A 22986-nucleotide genomic window follows, 5' to 3' on the forward strand; every position below is an offset into this window, starting at 1 on the left:
GAAGAATAAAAATTATATGATCATTTTGACAGATGCAGAAAATGCATTTGACAAAATACAACATCCTATTATAATAAAAACTCTCAATATATTAGGGATAGAAGGAATGCACCTAAACCTAATAAAAGCCATATATGGCCAGGCACAGGAGCTCATGCCTGTAATCTCAGAACTTTGAGAGACTGAGGCAGGAGAATTGCTTAAAGCCAGGAGTTTGAGACCAGCCTGGGCAACAGAGCAAGACTCTGCCATCTCTACAAAAAAATAAAAATAAAAATAAAAGTAAAAATAAAAATAAAAAGGCTATGCAAGACCAGCCCACAGCTAACATCATATTCCATGGTGAAAAGCTAGAAGCTTTTACTCTAATATCAGAAACCAGACAAAGATGCTCACTCTTGCTGCTTCTATTCAATATAGAACTGGAAGTTCTAACCAGAGTGATTTAATCAAGAAAAAGAAATAAAAGACATCCAAATTGGAAAGGAAGAAGAAAAATTATCTCTGTTTGCAGATGACATAATCTTTTTTTTTCTTTTTTTGTTTTTACAGAACAGGATCTCCCAAGCTGGATTGCAGTGGTGCAATCATGGCTCACTGCAACTTCAACCTACTGGCCTAGAACGATTCTCTCATTTGAGTTTCCCAAGTAGTTGGATTACAGGCATACACCACAATGCCTACCTAATTTTAAAATCTTTTTTAGAGACAGGGTCTCCTTTTGTTGCTCAGGGTGGTCTTAAACTCTTGGGCTTAAGTGATTCTTCTGCCTCAGCCTCCCAAAGTGCTATGGTTACAGGTGCGAGCCACTATGCCCAGCCGACATAACCTTATGAATAGAAAATTCTAAAGATTCCACCAAAATACTGTTAGAACTAATAAATTCAGTAAAGTTGCAGGATACAAAATCAATATATAAAAATCAATTGTGTTTGCATACACTAACAAAATAGCATCTGAAAAAAATTAAGACAACAATCACATTTACAGTAGTATAAAAAACGGGCATACATTTAACCAAGAAGGTGAAGGATCTATACACTGAAAACTGTAAAACACTGATGAAACAAACTGAAGAAGTCACAAGTAAATGGAAAGGTAGCTCATGCTCATGAATGGGAAGAAGTAACACTGTTAAAATCTTCATACCCCCAAAGTAATCTACAGATTCAAAGAAATCCCTACCAAAATTCCAATGGCATTTTTTACAGAAATAGAAAATACAATCTTAAAATTCATATAGAACCAAAAAAGATCCCAAATAGCCAAAGCAGTTTTGAACAAGAACAAAGCTAAATCACAATACCTGATTTAAAAATATACTACAAAGCTATAGCAATTAGAACAGCATCGTACTGACATATAAATGGGCATATTGACCAATGGAACAGAAAAGAGATCAAGGAAATACATTGATTTACATTCAATTGATCTTTGAGAAAGGTGCCAAGAAAGGACAGTCTCTTTAATAAATGGTGTTGAGAAAACTGGATATCTACATGTAGAAGACTGAAATTGGACCGGATCTTACACAATATACAAAAATCAATTCAAACTGAATTAAATACAAATTTATGACATTAAACTCTAAAACTACTAAAAGAAAACATAGGGAAACAGCTCCTGACATTGGTCAGGGCAAGAATTTTTTTTGGGATATGATCTCAAAGACACCAGGAACAAATTCATAATAAACAAATGGGATTGCATCAAACTAACGAGCTTCTGCAAAGCAAAGGAAACAATAAACAGTGAAAGGACCATCTGAAGAATGGGAGACAATATCTGCAAACCATATATCTGATAAGAGGTTAATATCCAAAATATATAAGGAACTCACAGCACTTAATAGCAAAAGCCAAAATAACCCAAATAAAAAGTGGGCAAAGACCTGAATAGACATTGATCCAAAGAAGACATACAAATGGCCAACAGGTATATGAAAAAGTGTTTAACATCACCAATTATTGGAGAAATACAAGTCAAAAACCACAATAAAATATTACCTCTCACCTGTTAAGATGGCTATTATCTAAAAGAAGAAAGACAGCAAGTGTTGGCAAGGATGTGGAGAAAAGAAAACCCTTGTACACTGTTAGTAGGAATGTAAATTAATATAGCCATTATGGAAACCACTATGAAGCTTCTTCAAAAAAATCAACAATAAAAGTACCATAGAATTCAGGATCCCACTTCTTGATGTTTGTCCAATAAATTGAAAACAAGATTGTGAAGAGATGTTTGCATTCCCATGTTCATTACAGCACTATTCAGAATAGCCAAGCTACAGAGTCAACCTAAGTGTCCATCAACAGATAAATGGACAAAGAAAATGTGATACACAGAGACAATGAAATAATACTCAGCCTTTAAAAAGAAGGGAATTTTGTCATCTGCAACAACATAAGATTAAACCTAGAGGAAAATGGAAGGTCATGCACAAAACGATATACTGCATGATCTCACTATGTGTGGAATCTAAAAAAAGTTGAACTCATAGAAGCAGAAGTAGAATGGTTGCCAGAGGTTAGGGGATGGAAGAAATGAGGAGATGTTGGTCAAAGTGGACAAAATTTCAGTTATGCAAAATGAATGGGTTCTGGAGACCTAAGGTACAACATGGTAACTATAGTTAATATTACTTTATTGTATACTTGAAATTTGCTAAGACAGTAGATCTTAAAAGCTCTTCACACACACACACACACACACACACACACACACAAAGGTAATTATGTGAGGTGATGAATATGTTAATTAGCTTGATCATGGTGATCATTTCACAATGTATAATATATCAAAACATCACATTGTATACTGTAAATATATATAATTTTTATTTATCAGTTATGCCTCAATAAGGCTGAAAAAAAGGGATGATAAAAATGAGGCTGTCATGAAAGTTGTTAGTTAATTGACATAAAATACTCTTAAGCTTTCAATAAACCTTAGCCAATGTTATTATCAATTTTTCTGAAAAGCTGAACTGAAGGAAGGTATTTGTGTCAGCCTTTTAAATATCAAAACAGGAGAAAGAGCCTGGGAAGATCAGTTGGGAAGGCAAAGTGGCCAATATGAGGAGAAACCATGATGTTGCTTTCTGTTGTTTTTACTACTTGGTATCATTAGAAATTACATCAATTTTGGGAAAAAATTTTCAGCATGAACCATTTCAAATTTCTCCATTTTCTATGTAACAGTCATAATTTCACTTTATGTTAAAATACAAAGATTTACTGGGAGGAGGGACGCTTGGAGAGGAGAATAAGAGAGATGGTTGAAGGCAGGGAAAGAGGGCTGGTAAGGAAAGTTACAGACATTCCATTGACTTTCTCTGTAGGGAATGCTGAGTTTGGGTTAAGGTTATATTGCCAAGGACTTACTAAGGGAGAACATGACTTTTATAGGAGGAGACATTAGGGTTAGTTGAATTGAAAACTTTCTAAAAATGACTGCTGTTAAATTATCATTTCCTTTGGTCTTGGTTTCGTTTCCCCCCAAAGCAGGCCCTGAGGCAGGTACTTTGTTTGGAAGGTGACCCCAGAAAGCCAGGTGAGGGGGTGGTGAAGGGTGAGACAGAGAGGGAAGGAAGCCAATTCCGGCTACCGCTGTGGGTGGTGGGGCTCACTGTTGCTGGGGGCCTCTGGGAAACCATGTGGAACACACCTCACACATGTCAGGGAACCCTGCATATTTATCAACTTCTGTTTCTCATTGGTTAAGAATTGCCGTGGAGGTGTTAAACCCCTAGTGCTTCTGAGCTGTCCTGGGCTGTCCTGTGCTGGACTGAGCAAACACGTACGGCGCTAGAAAAAGCCATCAGGCTGAGAAGCAGAGGGAGGTGTCAGTGCATGAGGGGGAAGCTGCCAGCCTGCATGAAAACTGGCTGCTGCACATGGAGATGAACTCAGGTGGGCAGAGGGTACTGTGTCTACTATATCCAGTGACTTAAAAGAGCTAATTTTCACACAAGGGGTAAATAAATGGCAGAGATTAAAGTTAACAAACTGCTTGTTTCCTCAGTGTGAGAGAATGGTCTCCCTACACACCTTTTCTTCCTTTCCTTTTTCTTCCCTTCCTTCTTCCTTTTATAACATTATCTTGCATTCTTTTATTACCTTTCATATATCACCTTATATTTTTAGAATTCTATATCAGGCTATTAAAGGCAGAGTCTTATATATCTACGTAATTAGCTAGCCATATCTAAAGCTAGCTAATAATAGATAACTAATAATTATGTCAAATTACAGATTTTATGCCAAGACAGAATGTTTAGAAGTTATCCTGTCTAACATGCTTATTTTACCTCTCTGTTTGCCTTCCCAAAATGGCCCCATATATCTGCATTATCTTTTTAATTTTTGTATTGGTAGACCTCTTGAAATATGAAGAAATTAAGGTTGCTTCTATCCAGGAGAGAAAAAACAGTACAGACAGAGTGCTTCAATAGGCCAAGAACTGGGCTTAAAATTCAAGAACAGCAAATTCTGAGCTTGGCTGTCAGGTTTAATAACTTCTGCTCCTGACACACATAATTTTGCCTCATGTCTGACAGCTCACCTCAAAACACTGATTCTGAAACTCTAATAAAAGCAATTTTAACTTTAACTTTTGGAATAGATCATTTAAACCACCAGAGAAAAATTATCAAAACCTCATTCACATGGACAATTTTTCTCACTATGTTTGAGAAAATTGACTTCCTTCAATTCTCAATTCATGTGATTTTCTCAGGAATAGAGTTCAGCCTAGATCAAATGAGATTGCCATTAAAGCATTTTATTCAATATTAAGCCTTTGTATTATAAAGGTGTGATAAAAATGGATCAAAAACTCTGTTTCTAAAAATTTTTCAGACTTACCTTGACTGTAACAATAGGCACCAGGAACATTGTCTTTGTTCCCTAATGTAATTTAGCACTTAGAATTGTTCTTGGCACTTAATAGATGCTCAGGAAATGATTCTTGACTAAACAATTAAATAATGAATGGCTTTTTAGTGGCTCTCAGAGAATGTGGTTCAGATAGCTATCAAGGTCTATGTTCAAATTATCATCTTACAGAACCACAGGTATTTGTCTAAGACGTGAAAGATATTAATTCTAGCCCCTTCTATCATGATGTATATATGTCATTCCTGTGCCCCACCCTGCCACACATACATGCTATTAAATATGCTTAGACCATCTGGGCATACGTCAATCATTTGGAACGTACCCCTGCCACCTGGGTAAGGTGGAGCTATCTGGAGTTCTCCAGGCCTGCATACTGATATGTCAACATTGCGGATATCTAACAAATGTTTATTAAACGATTATGTAAATGATAAAAGTTTCAATTGTTATTTCCAGAGCTCAAAACGAGTTAAAAGCTTTATATGACATGACTCATAGGAGATACAAAGACTGCACGAACCATCGTTAGCAAAGGTCTTGCTCTGGCAAAATATCTGCGCCTATATTACATTTAATCCAGAGGCTTTTAAAAGATTTAGATCTTTATTGCTTTTTTATGTTCTTAATAGGATCAAAAATAATTTTAGAACATACTTTGAGTTGCCTATAAATACTTTCCAGTTCATATTAACACAATACTTTTTCTTCTAGATATTTTACTTATAGACATCATTTCATTAATTTTCTAAGGATTCTGGCCTGTTTATTTTGGGGATGATAATTTCCACAGTCAACTATTTTCTGGTGAGCCTTTGGATCATCAGTTGTTTAGCTTAATAGAGAGTTAACCCATATTTAATTCACCTTACTAATTTTAAAAGAATTAGAATACAATAGAGTTTATTAAACTTTTCAAATCCTATTGAACTTCAATTGCTCTTTCTGATTGGCCCAAACAGACTCCAGGGCTGTGTCATGCCTTGGGTCATTGTTAATGCAATAATCATGATTGCATTGCAGAAGTGTGTCTGTGTCAGCTCATAACATACCATACACACCGATTTCCACTTGTTGAATATCCAGCATGCCCAGTCTTTGGTTCTAATCAGAAGAACTATTTCCTATTCATATCTAATTGTCTTAATTGCCACTGCTTCCTATTATGCCACATAGTAGATAAGAAACACATCAGTTAAAAATGGTCAACCTCACTGCATAATACCTAGATTACAGGCATTTTATCACAGAGCTCATATAAGGGAGGGGAATTTATTTGCTAGATTTTTTTGTGTTATAAATCCAAAGACATTTCAGGGAATGCAGGCCTAATACTAACAGCATGAGTTGTGGGGCTGCTTGTGTCTGTTTACCACACAACTATTGTCTTACTAATGTCAACTTTTAGGCAAGGAATGTGCTTTATTTGACTTACAGTTGGCAAAAAGGTGATTGTTCCAGATATGAACCCAGTGGATACTTCTCTTTCTAGCCTTGACCTATTGAAGAAGGAAGCTACTTTTTTCAGTGAGTTACTTCAAAACCAGCAGTTGCATTTTAATAGATCATCCACATTTTGGCAGCTGAAGAATTCAGATGTTTCTGTGACTACAGAACATCTAATGTCAACTCTGTAGTTGATAGATTAATCATGGGCTGGTCTCTTGGTTTTAGTAAAAAGAATCAGATTTCCTTTCTGAAAAAAATGTTTTAGTTTATGTCCTTTCTTCTTTTTATTTTTTTTTTCTTTTCTCTAATCAGCAGATCAAAACTTTGGGCCCTTCTTAACCCTAATTCAAACATCACTTCAGAAGTTAACACATTTGAGCTCCAAAAGCAATGCTTTTAACTTCTGTCCCATGGTCAATAAGGGGCTAAATCGATCTATAAACAGTGTCAGATGGTGTCTCACACATGGCACTTAAGAAACCTTATTCCTGATAGAGCCTTGACCTCGGGGGCCCCCCTGATCAGGAGGTCTCAGTAACACTGAACAGGGAAGCATCAAAGGAAGGGCTTGTGCGGTCCCACGAGCCTGACTGCAGCTTGGACTCCACGGTGAGGTGCGACGGCCGGGAGAGGGTGTTGAAGACAGGGCAGGCATGGTACTGACATGACTGCTGAATATTTCCAGTTGTGTTTGTTGCATGACTGAGGTTGGAAGGTTTCAGGCTCATTTTTTTCCCCTAGTAGTTCCGTTTCTCATCCTTCTTGCTTTTCAGTTTATCTAGAAGTTTTGCATTGGGAACTGATGGAGTTCAAGGATATCTTTCAAGGAAGCCAAAACAAAGCAAGCTCAGAACTGAGGAGGCTCAACATAGTTTTTTTGGGGAGCAGCAAGATTGTCATTTGTTGAACAGAGTAGCATTTTGATCAGTAAAAATCCTGCAGAATCTATGGCAGATGCTGTTGGTTTCCTGGAGGTCCCTTGCAGGCAGCTCCCCTGAACGCTGAGAGCTTCTGTGATCTCTAGGATGTGGCTGGGCTGCTCGTGGGGCATGTTAGGAAACCCAGAAGCTGAGGCCCCAGGATGGTTGTCAGTGAATGAATACCAGCTTCTTGCCCTCCAGTGTAGAATTCTGAGGTGCGTTCCCTGCGGCCTCTCAGGGGCTCCCCAGTGGGGTTGTGCCCACAGCTTCCCACAGCAACTGACTCATGAACACACTTTGTATTGGCTCTCTTTCCCTTCTCTGTCTCACTCCTCTAGTCTCCCACTTCTGCTTCCTGAGGTACTTCTCAAATAAACTACCTGTACCCACATCCTTTTCTTAGCAGCTGCTTTTGGGGAAACCCAAAGACAGAATCAGATAAAAGTACAGTTTTTGCATCCAAAAGAATTTGAGACCTCTTGAAAGTTCTATTTTTCCACCAAGTTGATACCACTGTACCTTGGTTTGGATTCCCCGATGCAAATCCTGAGATAATGATTTTGGTACAAATAGTGTATTTGGGAGGAGATTCCAGGGGGAGCAGGAAAGTGAGATAGGGAAGGGAAGGAAGAAAGAAAGTGGATGTTATCAAGCCAATCACGAGTGCGGGTAGCTACAGCCCAGTCCTGCTGAGGCACTCTGGAACTCCGTAGAACATGCCTCAGAACTGTCCTGTCCCAGAAGTGAAGAAGTTAAGATGTTGATCACCAACTCCTCATTCATCATTGATCAAGGGTTTCTCTAGGAGTACTAACTTTCCTGTGCTTCTGAGATGCCCTGCACTCAGACTGATCATGTACTGTGGCCTGAAAAGAAGTCCTTAGGAAGAGAGTCTCATGTTTGCAGTAAGCAGCCTTTGAGAATAGAGATAAATGCTGAGGGAATTTGGGAAGGACACTAAAACCCCTTTTACACACTCAGAGATGCTAAAAGCCAACAAATGCATCTCTGAAATAAAATGCAAAGGAATCACTCATTCTCTCATTCAACAAATCTTTATAAAGCCCTTCCTGTGTATTTGGATAAATGTGGAGAAGATGGACTATCTGTTGCCTTGCAGGTACTCCAACACTTTTGTTCCATAAGGAGTTCCGTGCCATCCAGCACAGAGGGGAACTTTTCATCCTGATGTGGCCTCCCTAAGCCTGGTTTCTTGAATGCATGGGTTGTTATGCAGAGCGTTGGACTGAGAATTAGGAGACTTGTGTTCTGGTTCTTGTTCTGCCCTTGAAGAGCCAAATTACCTTGGAGGAGTCATCTTGCTTTCCAGGACCTTGATTTGTTCCTGTGCTTAATGACGGAGCTGGCATAGGATGCCTTCAGACCTTCCTGCCCTGAAATATGTGGCTGCAGGTCCACTTGCAGAAGTGGCTGTGGTCCCAGGGCTATTTGTGCTGTGTAGGTCAATAGCTGTGAGCAGCTTCTGGTCTGGAGGCATTTCAGGTCAAGGGATATCTGAGCTGGCAGAAAAGTTAGAGATGGAAATTAACTCTTGTAATGAATAGCAGTGAAGCTCAGGAGATGACATGACTTGTACAAGCTCACTCAGCTAAGAGGGGGCAGAATTGGAGCCAGAACCTTTTTTCCTATTATTCGATTGATGGGTCTTTCTTTCTGCCTCTCTCTCTCTCTCTTTCTTTCTTTTTCTTTTTCTTCCCCCCACTTTTATTTTTTCCTCAGACATGATCTGGCTCTGTCTCCCAGGCTGGAGTGCAGTTGCTTGATCTTGGATCACTGAAACCTCTGCTGCCCAGGATCAAGCAATCCTCCCACCTCAGCCTCCTGAGTAGCTGGGACTACAGGCACACACCACCATGCCTGGCTGATTTTTTGTATTTTTTTTGTAGAGTCTGGTTTTGCCATGTTGCCCAAGCTTCTCCAGAACTCGTAAACTCAAGCGATCCACCTGCCTCTGCCTCCCAAAGTGCTGGGAGTGCTGGGATTACAGGCATGAGGCACCGTGCCAGGAAAATGGATCTTTCTATTAGTTTACAGACTGCACTTTTTGTAGCAAGCTATTAAACAGCACTGTTTCTGAGACAAACAGTAGACAAATGGCTAAAGAAATCCCCTTGATCCAAGCACTGTGATCATGAAATTGGAAGATATTCATGTTTAAGGGCTCAAACCAAATATCAGAGGCTCCACCTCCTTAGAAACACTCTCCTGCTGATTTGTTCTATGTGCTGTCCAATAGAAGGCCAGTCCCATCCACAGGGATTGTTATCAAGTGGAAAAGGTGGACCAAACACCTGATAAAAAAAAATCCAGCTCATGTACACCTCACCATGAAGCCTTGGATCTGCAGATATTGATGCAGGGCTTAGCCGGGGAATGTTCTTGGCTTTGCTCAGGAAAGAATTCAAGGGTGAGTGGGTGATGTTATACAGCAACTTTTGCTGAAACAGCAATGTACAGCAGCAGAGGCACTGCTCCTTGTGGAGCAGGTATACCCCATAGGCAGTCTGCCCAGAGTAGCAGCTCAGAGGCAGTGCTGTTACTCTGGGCATATTTATACTCACTTTTAATTATATGCAAATTAAGGGGCAGATTATTCTGAGGTTTCTAGGAAAAGGGTGGTAACTTCCCAGTTGTCAGAGCCTCCTCATGGAAAAAGGCAGTAATTTCCTGCTGTTGCCATGGCAATAGTAAACTGACATGGGACACTGGTGGGTATGTCTTATGGAAAGCTGCTTTTGCCTTTTGTTTTAGCTAGTCTTCAATTTGGTCCAGTGTCCAAGCCCTGCCGCTGGAGTCAAGTCCCACCTCCTACCTCAATATCACCTGCATTATTTAGCTTTGGTTAATGTGTATACAAGATGGCAGTTTGATAACAGGTCTGAGCAAAGAAAGGGAAGAGAATTACAAAGAGAGGTGGAAGAATCCAGCCTTTTTAGAATGGAAAGTAATTTAGATGCAAATTTAGAAGATGACGGGAAGAGAAGTGAAGATGACTCAGCACTCCTGCTTCCTGTGTCCACACAAATGGGTGTCTTGTTTTTATTCAGCAAAAGACCAGCCAGGTGATAACACCTTTGGCATTACACCGGGTTGAGTTCAGGTTGCTGATCACAGAGTGAATGACATTAATAGACATGATATAAGCTGCTGCCTATTTTCCAGCCTGATCGTCACGTGCTGTATCATGTTCCATCTTAGCAAAATTTTAAGTGTTAGAAGAACAGCACAAGTCCACTCTTGACTCTTGTGTGGACCTACGTCACCAACTTCATTTCAGAGCTGGTCTGAAATGCAGTCTCAGTCCTGACCCCAGACCTACTACACTGGTAGTAGTAATTGAAAAGCAACTGTGTTTTTAACAAGATCTTCAAGTGATTTGTATAGATATTAAAATTTTGGAAGCACTGTTGCTGCTCATAACAAGTGGATAATTCCTTGAGTGAAACCACTGAAAAATATTATCAGACAAAAATGAAGTACTCAAGGAGACCTTGCAAACAAGTGGAAAAACTAGATGCGATTCAAATAATCGATACAATGGTGTAATGCTTAGTTGTTGTGAGCTAATATTTAAACAACGTTAAATCAAACACATAGCTCTTAAAAAACACCTGCTTCAATTTTTTTCAAGTGTGAATGTATGGGAGGATGTTATTTATATTTATACCTTGTTTCATTCCACAAAGGATAAAGACATGTTGTTATCAGACATAACAGTAATTACAGAGAAAAACACCACTGTTAAAGGGCTGTTGTGATTCCCCGCAGTGTCTTTAGACTGTACACTAAGTAGAAGCTTTCAGAATCATCAAATTCCTTTTCTGTCTCTGAACCCACAGAGGTAATTGTCTGTCTTAGTTCTGAAATATCACCAGCCTTTGTTAATAGACTCTGAGATATTTGTAATGGATGAAGGTTAAAGTTTGCTTTTTCTGCTTTTTTGTTTATTTCATTTTTTTTGAGACAGAGTCTCACTCCATCACTCAGGCTGGAGTGCAGTGGTGCAGTCATGCTCACTGTAACCCCAGACTCCTGGGTTCAAGTGATTCTCCTGCCTCAGCCTCCCAAGTGTCTAGGATTACAGGCAAGGACCATCAGGGCTGGCTAATTTATTTTTATTTTGTAGAGACAGTCTTGCTATGTTGCCCAAGCTGGTCTTGAACTCCTGGCCTCAAGTGATCCTTCCACCTTTGTCTCCCAAAGTGCTCGAATTATACCTGTGAGCTCCTGTGCTCAGACTTTTTCTCTTTTAAAAAGACCATTGAAGGAATCATTTACAAAATAAATCTTGACTAATAAATTGTGTGGAGAGAGCTGGCTAAATGTCTAAAGAGAACAAATTTTGAAAAGCAATTTCAAAGACTTGAGAAGCGTCCTTTTAATAGCAGAGTTTAACAGATCAATTACAAATCATTCTTTATATTTATTAAACCCTCACTACTTGTTATGTAGCAATAGCTTACTGATACAGAGAAGGAGTCACTAATTGGGGAGATGCTGATGCCTGGTTGCAACACAGAACTGCCACGTGCTAGAAGACAGCAAGTACAGGGTTCTATTCAGACCACTTGCTTCTCATGCTCTAGGAATGAGCGTGTGTAGGACAGGAAAGACTCTTTCAGAGACTGTAGAGCAAGAATGGGCAAGGAAAAATCCATGGCTGAAATGAGTAAAGCCATCTCTTCTCCCATCTCATTTTCAAGAGCTTCTTGTGACCCTAAGGCTGGTGTCCTAACATTACAGAACCTCCTGCCCAGCTGTCATAAACTTCTAAACATGAGTGTGGATGAAAATATTGACAGACCTCATGGTGGGGGTTGGGTGGGGTGATGAAATTTCACTTTCCCTGAGGCATGCCAGAAGGGTGAAATAAATAATGGATTAACCTAAATTACTCTGATGAGAAAGCTTGGGTTTGGTTTTGTACCTCCCTCTTCCATTCTAGGTGGTTCTACTATAAATACCTTTATTTTTGTTTCCTTTAGGGTAGTGTTTCCAAAGAATGAAATGTGTATCCCTGATGTTACACAAAAAGAGTTTCATCTATTTAACATTTTGTTTAATAGGTTAATTAATTAGGTACTTTTTAACATTAATGTCTATTTATGACAAGGGTCACTGGTTTTCAATTTAGGGCAGAGTTTTAACATTTCTCTTTAACGATATTTAAATCAAAGTGAACTGATTTAAAAATTGCATGAAATATTGAAACAAGCATTGATATTAGTAATAAGGATGATAAAAGAATATTCAGTTATTTAGTTGAAATAAAACAAATTTGCAGCACAAATTTGAATTAATGAGAACATATTTCTGTGCCTTATTCCTAGTAGTCTAAGGCCTTTTTATTCAAGGACATTCAGCTTCACTGGATGTTATTTAGTTGTTCACATGTCCCTGTGAGGTCAAGATAAGACAGATAGCCGTTATCTACTGTTAGCTGTCACATGGAGAAGAAACAGACTTTCAAGGTACAAGAATTGAAGCATGTGTAGGAAGCAGAGAGGTGTCTCATCATTGCTTCAATCTTTCACTGTCACACTCTCCATCATAAGGTCAGCTGTTGAAGTTTGTAGGTGTCATGATACAGGTACAGCCTGAAGAGTATTTGGGTTGTTTGTTTCAATAGCTAAAATTCCACCATTATTGAGTCTTGAGAACCCATCTTGAAAATGTCAGTATTATGGGCAGAAAAACCTTTGCAATAAGTCATTTGTGACCACGAGATCTGGAAGAGAACAAGCCTTCCTAGAATTATGTGCAGATGGTGGCCGAAGGAGGAGGAAGGGGTTCAGGTATGGGGAGAGAAAAGCAGCAATATACCAATGGGGGAAGGTATTGGCTGAAGTAAAGTTTAGATTTTAGTGCTCTTTTTTTATGAGCTGTGTCCACTCATGGCCAGGGTGCCACATGGGGAATTAAAACAGAGGCCACCTGCCTTATGTGTCTTCTAGGCAACCAGATTTGGTCCCCATTTTGCTAGCTTTATCTTCCTTCCAGGCCAACTCTGGGTTAGGTTTTAAGTGGCAATCTTAGATCTGAAGGTCTGTGCCCTGGAATGTGAATAAATGAATGAAAGAACAAACAAAGTCGGTGCAATCGACACCACATTTGTCTGATAGGACCCTATTTGTTCTTACATTCATAGCGGCTAACACTGTGCTTAACACATGGTAAATACTAAGTATTTGAATGAATGAAGGTAAGAAACCCACCTATTCATAAAAACAGGGCAAGAATGACTGTATCTGAAAACTACAAGGTCGAGCTTCTCTTTTGTTAACTAATTCATTCATTCAATAAAGAATGAAAGAACTTTGTGAACCAACACCATGCTGAGAATTGGCCCTTGAGATAAAATCTGAGTTAAAATCATCACTTACTCTATGGGGGGTTGTTGAGAAAGGGCATGAGTTTAGCCATAAGGCCATACACACATACACAAAAATTTTGTGTATTGTTTTGCAAAGACTTGGGTAGGGGTAGTTTGGGTACCGGTACTTGAGCCCTGGAAGACGGAGTAACGGAGCAGAGAAGAGTGAGACAGGGATAGAGAGAAAGCCAGTAAAAAGGTACACTATTGAGTTTGTTACAATTACACGGAACTAGGGATCAGTTCTCTAGGGGATCCTTTGAGTAACCATGTGGAATGCTTTTCAGGAGTATACCCTAAAAAACTCCCCAAAGGAGTAAGGTATTTCTCCATCTACTCCCATCACCCAACGCTGAAGATTGTTCCTGAGGGATTTAATGTTCCCTCTCCCCATCTGGTGGCTGCCCCTGTGTGTGGGCTGGTGAGAAGTGTGTGGTATGTGCTGAAGAGAGGAAGTCCTCAGCAATCATGACCCACCCCAGCTGCTGCTGAAGCTGGTGGCTAAGGAGATGTAGCAAAAGGAACTCATAGCCTCAACTAGAGTTTTCTTAGGGGAATTTGCCAGAGATTATTTATAAAATACCTGACATACAAAATAAAAGCAATAGGCAGTTTTCGAAGCAGATTTCAAAAAAAATTCTTCACCTAAGCAAAAATATGGAATCCATTGAAATATTTAATGGAAGGTAAAACTTTAGACAACATTAGGGTCTGTTGGCTATGACTGGGAGACACTAAATAATTGTAACTGACAACAGAGTAAAGATAGGACACATCTGTGTCTTGGAAAAGCCCAGGATTATGTGTGTGTGTGTGTGTGTGTGTGTGTGTGTGTGTGTGTGTGTGGTGGTGGGGGTAGGAGTGTCTTTCTGATTACACCTGCCACCAGTGTCTGGTTAGGGAACAAGAACAGCAGATGTTTCTTAGAAGACGAATGAGTATGGGTCTAATAAATATCACTGCTTGAATAATAATCTATTAAAATAGTTACTATATTAGTCAGGCATATTAGTTATTTCTTGCTGTGTAACAAAGAACTCCAAAACTTAGTGACATAAAACAACCACTTATTATTTTTCATAAATCTATGGATTGGCTGGCTCGGAAGTTCTGCTGATCTGGTCTGAGTTTGGTTGATTCAGCTTGGCTTGATTTATTAACTTCTGGTCTGCTTGGACAATTCGCTCTTCTCCATGTTGTTTCTCAACCTTCAGCAGACTAGTCTGGCTTCTTCGCGTGGTGGAGTCTGAGATCTCAAAGAGTAAGCAAAAGCCTGCAAGGTCTCTTGAGGCCTAGGCTTGGAACTGGCTCTGTCACTTCTGCTACATTTCATGTGCCAGTTCAAGACACATGGCCAAACCTAGGTCCAAGGAATGGAAAATAAACACCACCACTTGATGGAAGAAACTGCTAAATCACATTGTATGGAAGAGAAATAATTGGAGGAAATTTTGCAATCAATTTACAACAGAGTAGCCTGATTGCTCTAATAAACAAATCTCAAATCTTAGGATTAAACATCATAATGTTTATTTCTTGTTCACAGTCCAATCTTGTATCACAGTCCAATAGAGGTGGGCAGGGGAGTGAGAGAGATTGCTCCACACAGCCATTCAGGTACCAAGTTTCCTTCTGTCTAGTTGCTGTGTTATCCAAAGCCATAGAGCCTTTGATTGGGTCCTGCGTTTCCATCCACTAGATGAGAGAAGAGAGCAAATATGTAGAAGAAATATCTGTCCTTAATTGCCTCAACCTGGAGGTGTCATACATATCACTTCTGCCCCTTTCCAGGGCTAGAACTTGGTCACATGATTGAATAGAACTGCAAGGGAAGCTGGGAAATGTGGTCCAGCTGTTAGGAGAAAGAGGAAAATGGCTTATTGAGCACCTAGCTAGACTCTGCTGCAGTCACAGGCTCTGTGACTGAGGAACTCATTCCCAAAGAAAGTGCACTGGGACACATTTCAAAAGTTGATGCATGATAGTATGGGGCAGACAAAGGTTAAAAAGACAAGGTCATGATTAAGTAGGGGAGAAACACACAGATACCTATGTAAATACCTAGGGTATGAGCAAGAATCTGGGGAAAGACTTGGAGTTAGGAGGAGGTGGGTGCTTGGCAGGCGGTGAGACTTTAATAGGCAGAGGTAGAAGTGAAGGGCAAAGGGAAACTTTGGGCCACACGGGGAAACTAGATTTGTTTGCTTGTTTAACACTGTGGCCTCCAGTGGGACCTAAAGTCGATGCCTTAATGTAGGACGGCTATGTTAGTGCTGATCAGAATAATGTACCCCTTAGGGCTACATTAAAAAACTATGCTCAGTGCCTCATTTGCACCTTCAAAATATGCACATACATGTGTGGGCCAGAAAAGGCTGCGCTCAGGACATGCATTCTTATGTGAACCGTAGGTAATTGCACAAGCAAACAGGAAGTTGCGTAGGTATGCAGGCAGCTGCCTGTTGAGAGGTGCGTGTGGGCATGGGCAGGCGTGGGCCTTGTCTGTTTGAGTACAATTTTAAAGGCTTCTCCTGATGGAAGGGAGGGCAAGCAAGCCTCTGGGCACCTGCTTCCCTAACTGCTGCTGTCGTTTGTCCTTCTCAAGGTTTCCTTTCTGGGCAGGGCCATGTCAGGGAGTATTTGTGGCTGTAAGAAAAAGGTGCCGTTTCAAGGTCTTTGCTAACTGCCGAGCTGGTGAATAAACGTTTTGAAATTCTCTTTGCTGAGAATTCCATCTCCTGGTTCTCTTCCTGATTCTATGGCCCAGTTTCCCCAGTTTATTCCCTGTCTTCTTCTTCTGTTTGTTCCTCAGATGTTTTCCCGTGAACCTGTCCCTAATCACTTTCTGACCTTCTGAACCAGAGCTATCCAACAGAACTATCTGCAAAGGTACCTGCACTGTTCCTTGTTGTAGCCACTAGCCACATATAGTCATTGAGCACTTGACATGGGGCTTATGGGCCTGAGAAACTGACTTTTAAATTTTATTTAAGTTAAATATAAATAGACACATGTGGCTAGTGGCTTCTCTATTGGACAGCATAGCTCTAGAACAGTCTTTATGGGTAATAATTTCTCCCTTACAGTCTGCCCCATTATTCCCAGTCTGTATCTCCTTACCCTACCTGCTCTCCTGAACCATGTTTACAAATACTCCAATTTGATTATTCTGTGGTCCCCTTAATGCAATGTGGCTAAGGTTGAACTCTTTGTCTCTACCCACAAAACTCATTTCTTCTTGACCTTCCTCCTGTCACTTTATCCTTGGTCCTCCCTTATTAGGGAACAGTTCTGATCAGACCATGTTACTCATATATATTATCATCAAGATAGGTCCAGGTTTTGTGGATCTGAGTCAATTTGGGATCTCTACTTAAAAAAAAAATTACAGAGTACAAATGCAAAATTAGATTTAGAGCCTTGGAGCATCCTCGGCAAGTGAAGATGTCTGTGAAGCTTAAGCTTTATTTGCTTTACTGCAAATTGGCCTCAGTTTATCATTGGAATATTCTACAGTTTCTGGGTTTGAATCTCAGTCTGACCACTTCCTTGTTCCACAACCTGGGCACAGTACTTAACCACACTGAGATCGAATTGGCTATTGGGGATAATGATAATACCTATTAGACTAAGTTGTTGCAAAATTAAATAAGATATATGTATACAAAGTCTAGTACATCTTGGAGCCATTCCATGAAATAATGTTATTCCCTTGTTCTCACTGCATAGAAAATAGTAACAGCAATAACAATGAAAATAATAACACTAGATAATTGTCTTAGTCCATTTGGCTGTTATAACAAAATCATAGACTTAGTGGCTTATAAACGATGGAGACTTATTTCTCACAGTTCCGGAGGCTGGGAAGTCTAAGACCAAGACACCAGCAGTTTCAGTGTCTGATGAGGGCCCACTTCCTCGTAGGCTATCTTCTCACTGTAACCTCCCCGGAGGAAGGGTTCTCTCTCGGGCCTCTTTTAAAAGAACACTAATCCCATTCCTGAGAGCTCCACCTTTATGACCTAATCACCTCTCATAGGCCCACCTCCAAATACCCTCAGTTTGGGGATTAGGATTTTAACATAGGAATTTGGGGTGAACACAGACATTCAGTTCACAGCACTATTGTATTGGGTGCCATGTTCGACACTTGGCATAGATTATCTCATTTATGCCTACAAGGTAAGTACTTTTCTTAGCCCGTTTTACAGATGGGTGAACCTAGGCCCCAAAAGGTAGGCAACATGCCTAAGGTCCCACATGCTAGTAAGCAGGGGAGTTGGGATTTGAACCCAGCCAATTGCACTTTCCCTTCCCTTTGCACTCTTAACCCCACGCCTTGAGCTGGGCATTCAGGACTCTCCACAACCCTCTTTTCATCAGCTTGCTGGATTCCTTCCACTTGTGTGTATGTTTTCACCAACAACTAAATGTTTCATGATTTGCTCGTATACTTCTTTTTCTTTTCTCATCCTATTTCTTTTCCCTGGAGTACTTGTCCCTTCTCCTTGATCTCCTGTGCTTTATTCATGCCTTAACATAACCAACTTTGTTGCTTTTACTGTAAGGGAGTTGCTGAGAGGGTTTTTTTTTCCCATATAACACAATGTTCTTCCTATGAACATCGAGAATGATTATGTCCTGAGGAACTGGTCTATTTTTATCTCACCAGGGAGCTTTAAAACATAAAAATGTGTGGGTCCCCACCCCCAAACCACATGTATCAGAAACCCTGGGGCTGAGTTGAGATTCACTGGTTTTAAGGATTGTGTTTTTCTTTTTGAACTGGTTACTAGAAAGCCATGAACCAGCTCTCAGCTCAGCTCGGGCCAGGATACAGGACGTTGGGCTTCATCTCACCTCTTACCTCATTTTCCTTTCACTTTTTATTTTAAATTGCATGTTGTCTTGGTTTTTGGTATGTATTTTTGTAGGTCACTGATATGGTTTGGCTTTGTCCCCACCCAAATCGCACCTTGAATTATAATAATCCCCGTGTCAAAGGCGGGGCCAGGTGGAGAATCATTGACTCATGGGGGCAGTTTTCCCCATGCTGTTCTTGCGGTAGTGAATAAGTCTCATGAGATCTGATGGTTTTAAAAAGGGGAGTTCCCCTGCACAAGCTCTCTCTCTTGCCTGCCACCATGTAAGATGGGACTTGCTTCTCCTTTGCCTTCTGCCATGATTGTGAGGCCTCCCCAGCCATGTGGAACTGTGAGTTCATTAAGCCTCTTTCCTTTATAAATTGCCCAATCTCAGGTATATCTTGATTAGCAGCTTGAGAACAGACCAATACAGTCACCTAAATTAATTTTGTAATGACTAGAGGTACAAATACAGATGATGATGATGGTGATGAAGACAACAGATTTACTCTAGAATAATGAGAAACTGTGGAAAGCCTGTTTGAGTCGATCTCAAAACAGACATCAGTAGACAACACCATAGATGAAATCAAATTGTAGTCTCAGGAAAAACATTATCTTCAAATCCAGGGCCACCAATCACCCTGGAACCATCCCATAGCTGTCTAAACGCAGTTTGCATGTGGTCGTTCATCTGATGGCTTCATTTCCTTTTGACCCTTCTTTTATTCTAATTTTGCTGAAGAGATTAAATGATCGCCTGTTAAAAAGGTGTATAAAGTGGAATCTTGTAGAAGAAATAAAAATAAATCCCTTTGTGTATTTGAATTTACTGACATACCCAGTGCCTGACTCCACTCCCCAGTGTCTGTGATTTTGGGTAAGATTTCCTGCTTAGGGATCTGGAGCTAGTCAGGTAACGACCGCTGCGTGCATTTAGCATGTACGCCAGGTACAGCTGCAAGGTTTCCAATTTTCCCGTTTGCCTGCCAGCCATCACCCCAGACTCATCTGAAAGCCAGCAAGGAGACAGTGGCTGCAAAGCGGCTTTTTGTCCTCAAAGTTTAGGCTCCTTGAGGCCCCAGAATGACAAAATGGAGAGGCAGGGCCAGGGGAAGAGGGCCTGGTGAGACCCGCCCTGGCTCCCGCCGGCCTTCTGCCAATGCCCGCAGATGGTGGGGGCCCATGGCCGGGACGCCCGCTCAGGCCCTGGCAGCCTCATGTGCCCCAGCACCTCCTTAAAAGCTGATTATCCGGCTTGTCTCCTTTGTGAGCCGGCTCATTACCATTTCATTGTGTGGTGGCAATTCTTACCCGCACCATGAATATTGACTTTATGCTTGCTTTTCTACCTGAATTACAGGCGGGCAGGCCGGCGGCTCGCATTGCTTGCTCAGCTCCAGCCTCCCTGGCAGCCACTTGAATAGTCTCAAAGAAAAGCTGTTTGCTTGAGCATTTAGGGATAACAGAGAGCGGTCACAGGCCGCTACAGTGATTTATTAAAAGACAGGAAAATGAGAGAAAAGACCCTTACTTCTTGCACCAGCTGCCTGCTCTCTTGCTTCCTTTTATTCTCTGTCTCTCTCCTCTTTTCTCTTTTCTCTTTATTCCTCCCTCCCTTCCATCCTTTCCTTTTTTCCCTTTCTCTGTCTTCCTCCCTCCCTGTGCCTCCCTCTCTGCCTTTCTTTCTGTCTCTTTCTCTGCCTCCTTTTTGTTCACATTTTTAAAATGAGAGAGGGAAAAAGACGGCTGTGCTTTTAAAATTTGTATAAATTTATGGGATACAAATACCATTTTACTACATGGATATATTGCATAGTAGTGAAGCGTGAGCTTTTTGTGTGTTCGTCGCCCAAATGCTGTGTTAAGCAGATGCTTGAGGGACGTTGGGCTTGTTTGCTACATCTAATGACACATCCCATTAAAGGTAGATAGAACCCAGGGTTAGCCTTTGAAGGATATGAGAGGAGATTGAGTACTTGCAGGTGTGTGTGTGCATTTAGTGTACACACACACACACACACACACACACTGCAAATGGTGCCAGCTGTTCTGGAAAAAGGAAGCTCTCTTCTCAGAAAAATAAGGCAGGGTGTCCTCTCCTCTCAATCTCCTTCTCCCCAGACATACTCCAGCAGTCCATGACCTTCTGAGTTCCTACCCTGAACACAGTGTCTGCCATCTGAAGAGGCCACCCCTGCACTGTCCAGCCTGGGCTTCTCTCAAGGGAATGATGCATGGAGAGTCTTCCCTCCTTGGTGTGCTGGTTCTTCCAGTCCCAGGTTCAGCCCCATCACCACCCCGATGGCTCCTCCCTACATGCAGGAAATCTGTGGGAAGTAAACATGGCTGGAGTGTGTGCAGACCTTCAAAGTGAAGGCTACATCTTGGTGACAATTTCTGTTCAACCAACTGACCTATTGGAGCACTAAGCAAGCTGGGCTAGGAAGGACACGGGAGGGTGGGCTGGGTGACCCTGGCATGCTGGCCGCTTGGTGTGAGCAATTGCATGGGGGCAGCTCTTCCAAACTGAGCCGCAAGGACTTTGTTTCCAGACCTTATCTGAGATGCAGGAACATGGGCTTTTCTTGGTGGCTTCTGGGAACTTTCCAAAACGCAATTTTCTTGGAATTCAAAGTTGGTCTGTTTTGCGTCTGGAGCTTGTTTCTGTGGCCCCTGCCCTCTCCAGCTTGCAGTTTGCACTAAGTACTCGGCCGGGTTCCTGCCTCCTTTCACTTTGCTTTCCCCAAATGCCTTTGGTCCCCCTTATCACCTGCCATGAGGCTCTAATTAGTCTGCTCCCAAACCCATAAATCAGCCCCCACCTCCTCCGGTTTGCTTCCTCTGGCTGAGGCGTGGAGCTCACCTTTCCCTTCCCAGATGACAAATCGGCCATTAATCTTGGTTTATTTGCTGGCTTCCTTCATTAGCTTCTGAACAGTTTGCAAACAAAGAGGGAGGGATTTTTGGTGACCTCAGTAGAGATAGGGACCCACAGGTGGATTTATTCTCATGTTTGATATTTTTTCTTCTTTTTTTTTTTTTCATGAAAAGGCTAAATACGTAACTGTCTTTCAGCACTTGTGGTTTTTCATTTTTGAAGCTTTCAGATCTGCTGTTGGGCTGCAGCGTGCTTGTTTTTATTTGGTCAGGCTAGTTTGTTGCTATGTATGAATCGGGACAGGGTGACCTGGGGAAGTAATGGAAAGGGTGGCATGTTTGGGTGCTCAGTGACTCTGAACCTTCAAAGAGGGCGCTGCCATGATGTTTTAATGGTCAACAGTCAATGGCTGCAGGAGAGTCATCTAGAAGCTTAGGAATTAGAGTGTTTTAGCTCTTTCTGTTAGCTTTTGGGTTTCCCAAGCCTGATGTTAGAATACACCAGCTCCCCTTCTTAGGTTCCATCTAATACTCTGGATTAAGTCTCTGAGAAGAGAGCTGAATTTATCAGCTGATATGTGTCTTTTAGGATGCAGGAAATAAAGCTGGACAGCTTGTGGGAGGATAGGAAGGGTATCACTTGAGAAAGAATGTCTACGAAGGGAAGACCAAGTTTTCAAATGTCATGGATTAGAGATGGGCTACAGGGAAGATGTGGGGTATTGGGTCTTTTAGTGTCTATCTCTACTTTAACCCAAAAGAATCCGTGATGTGGGCATTTGGGCATTGGAACAGGACAATGGGCAAGATATTTTCAAGGTCTTCAGGAAGATTGTGCCTTACACAGATTAGTGGGCCTTCTTGACCTCAGTGCAATGGGATAATCTTAAAACTCAAAGCCCTTGGAACACAATCTATGAAGTGGTCCACATCAAAATAGTAATGTTGGAGTTGGCAATCTTTTTTTTGAGACGGAGTCTCACGTTTGTCCCCCAGGCTGAAGTACAATGGCACGATCTTGGCTCACTGAAACCTCTGTCTCCTGGGTTCCAGGCATTCTAGTGCTTCAGCCTCCTGAGTAGCTGGGACTACAGGTGTGCACCACCACACCCGGCTAATTTTTTTTGTATTTTAGTAGAAACGGGGTTTCACCATGTTGCCCAGGGTGATCTCAAACTTCTGAGCTCAGGTGCTCCACCCACCTCGGCCTCCCCAGACACTGGGATTACAGGTGTGAGCCACCGTGCCCAGCCAGAGTTTGTAATCCTGATGCTCATTGTCTGGTGACAGCCATGCTAACCTCTGTTTTCCCCTATCCAACAATTAATTTAGACTAAGGATTATGATTCAATTTATTAAAAAATGCTTTTTAGTCATCAGGGCTTTAGAAAGGGAGACACATATACGCTGTCAAATGTGTTCAGTAACTCCATCCTTTCCTCCCCTACACCCTTTGATCTTGTCAGAGAAATGATGTCTCCCCCATCATTGAAGAGTCCTTGAGGATTGGAATATCGTCATTTCATCTTTACGTCATCATCTGTTTCCCTGCAATGGCCAGTTCTTTTTTTCATATATTTCAA

The 22986-nt window shown here is 41.2% G+C and overlaps 1 long non-coding RNA gene across 1 annotated transcript in view; it reads left to right on the plus strand.

The window, feature by feature from the left end:
• The first annotated feature begins 2792 nt into the window (after positions 1-2792).
• The window catches only part of LOC107985398 (uncharacterized), a 29940-nt gene continuing 9746 nt past the window's right edge, over positions 2793-22986 (plus strand). Inside the window, exon 1 of the long non-coding RNA XR_001754497.2 lies at positions 2793-17840. This is a non-coding gene — a long non-coding RNA (uncharacterized LOC107985398). The remainder of the gene's footprint in view (positions 17841-22986) is intronic.

This window comes from Homo sapiens, chromosome 20, assembly GCF_000001405.40.
Source record: "Homo sapiens chromosome 20, GRCh38.p14 Primary Assembly".
In the NCBI taxonomy this organism is placed as follows: domain Eukaryota; kingdom Metazoa; phylum Chordata; class Mammalia; order Primates; family Hominidae; genus Homo; species Homo sapiens.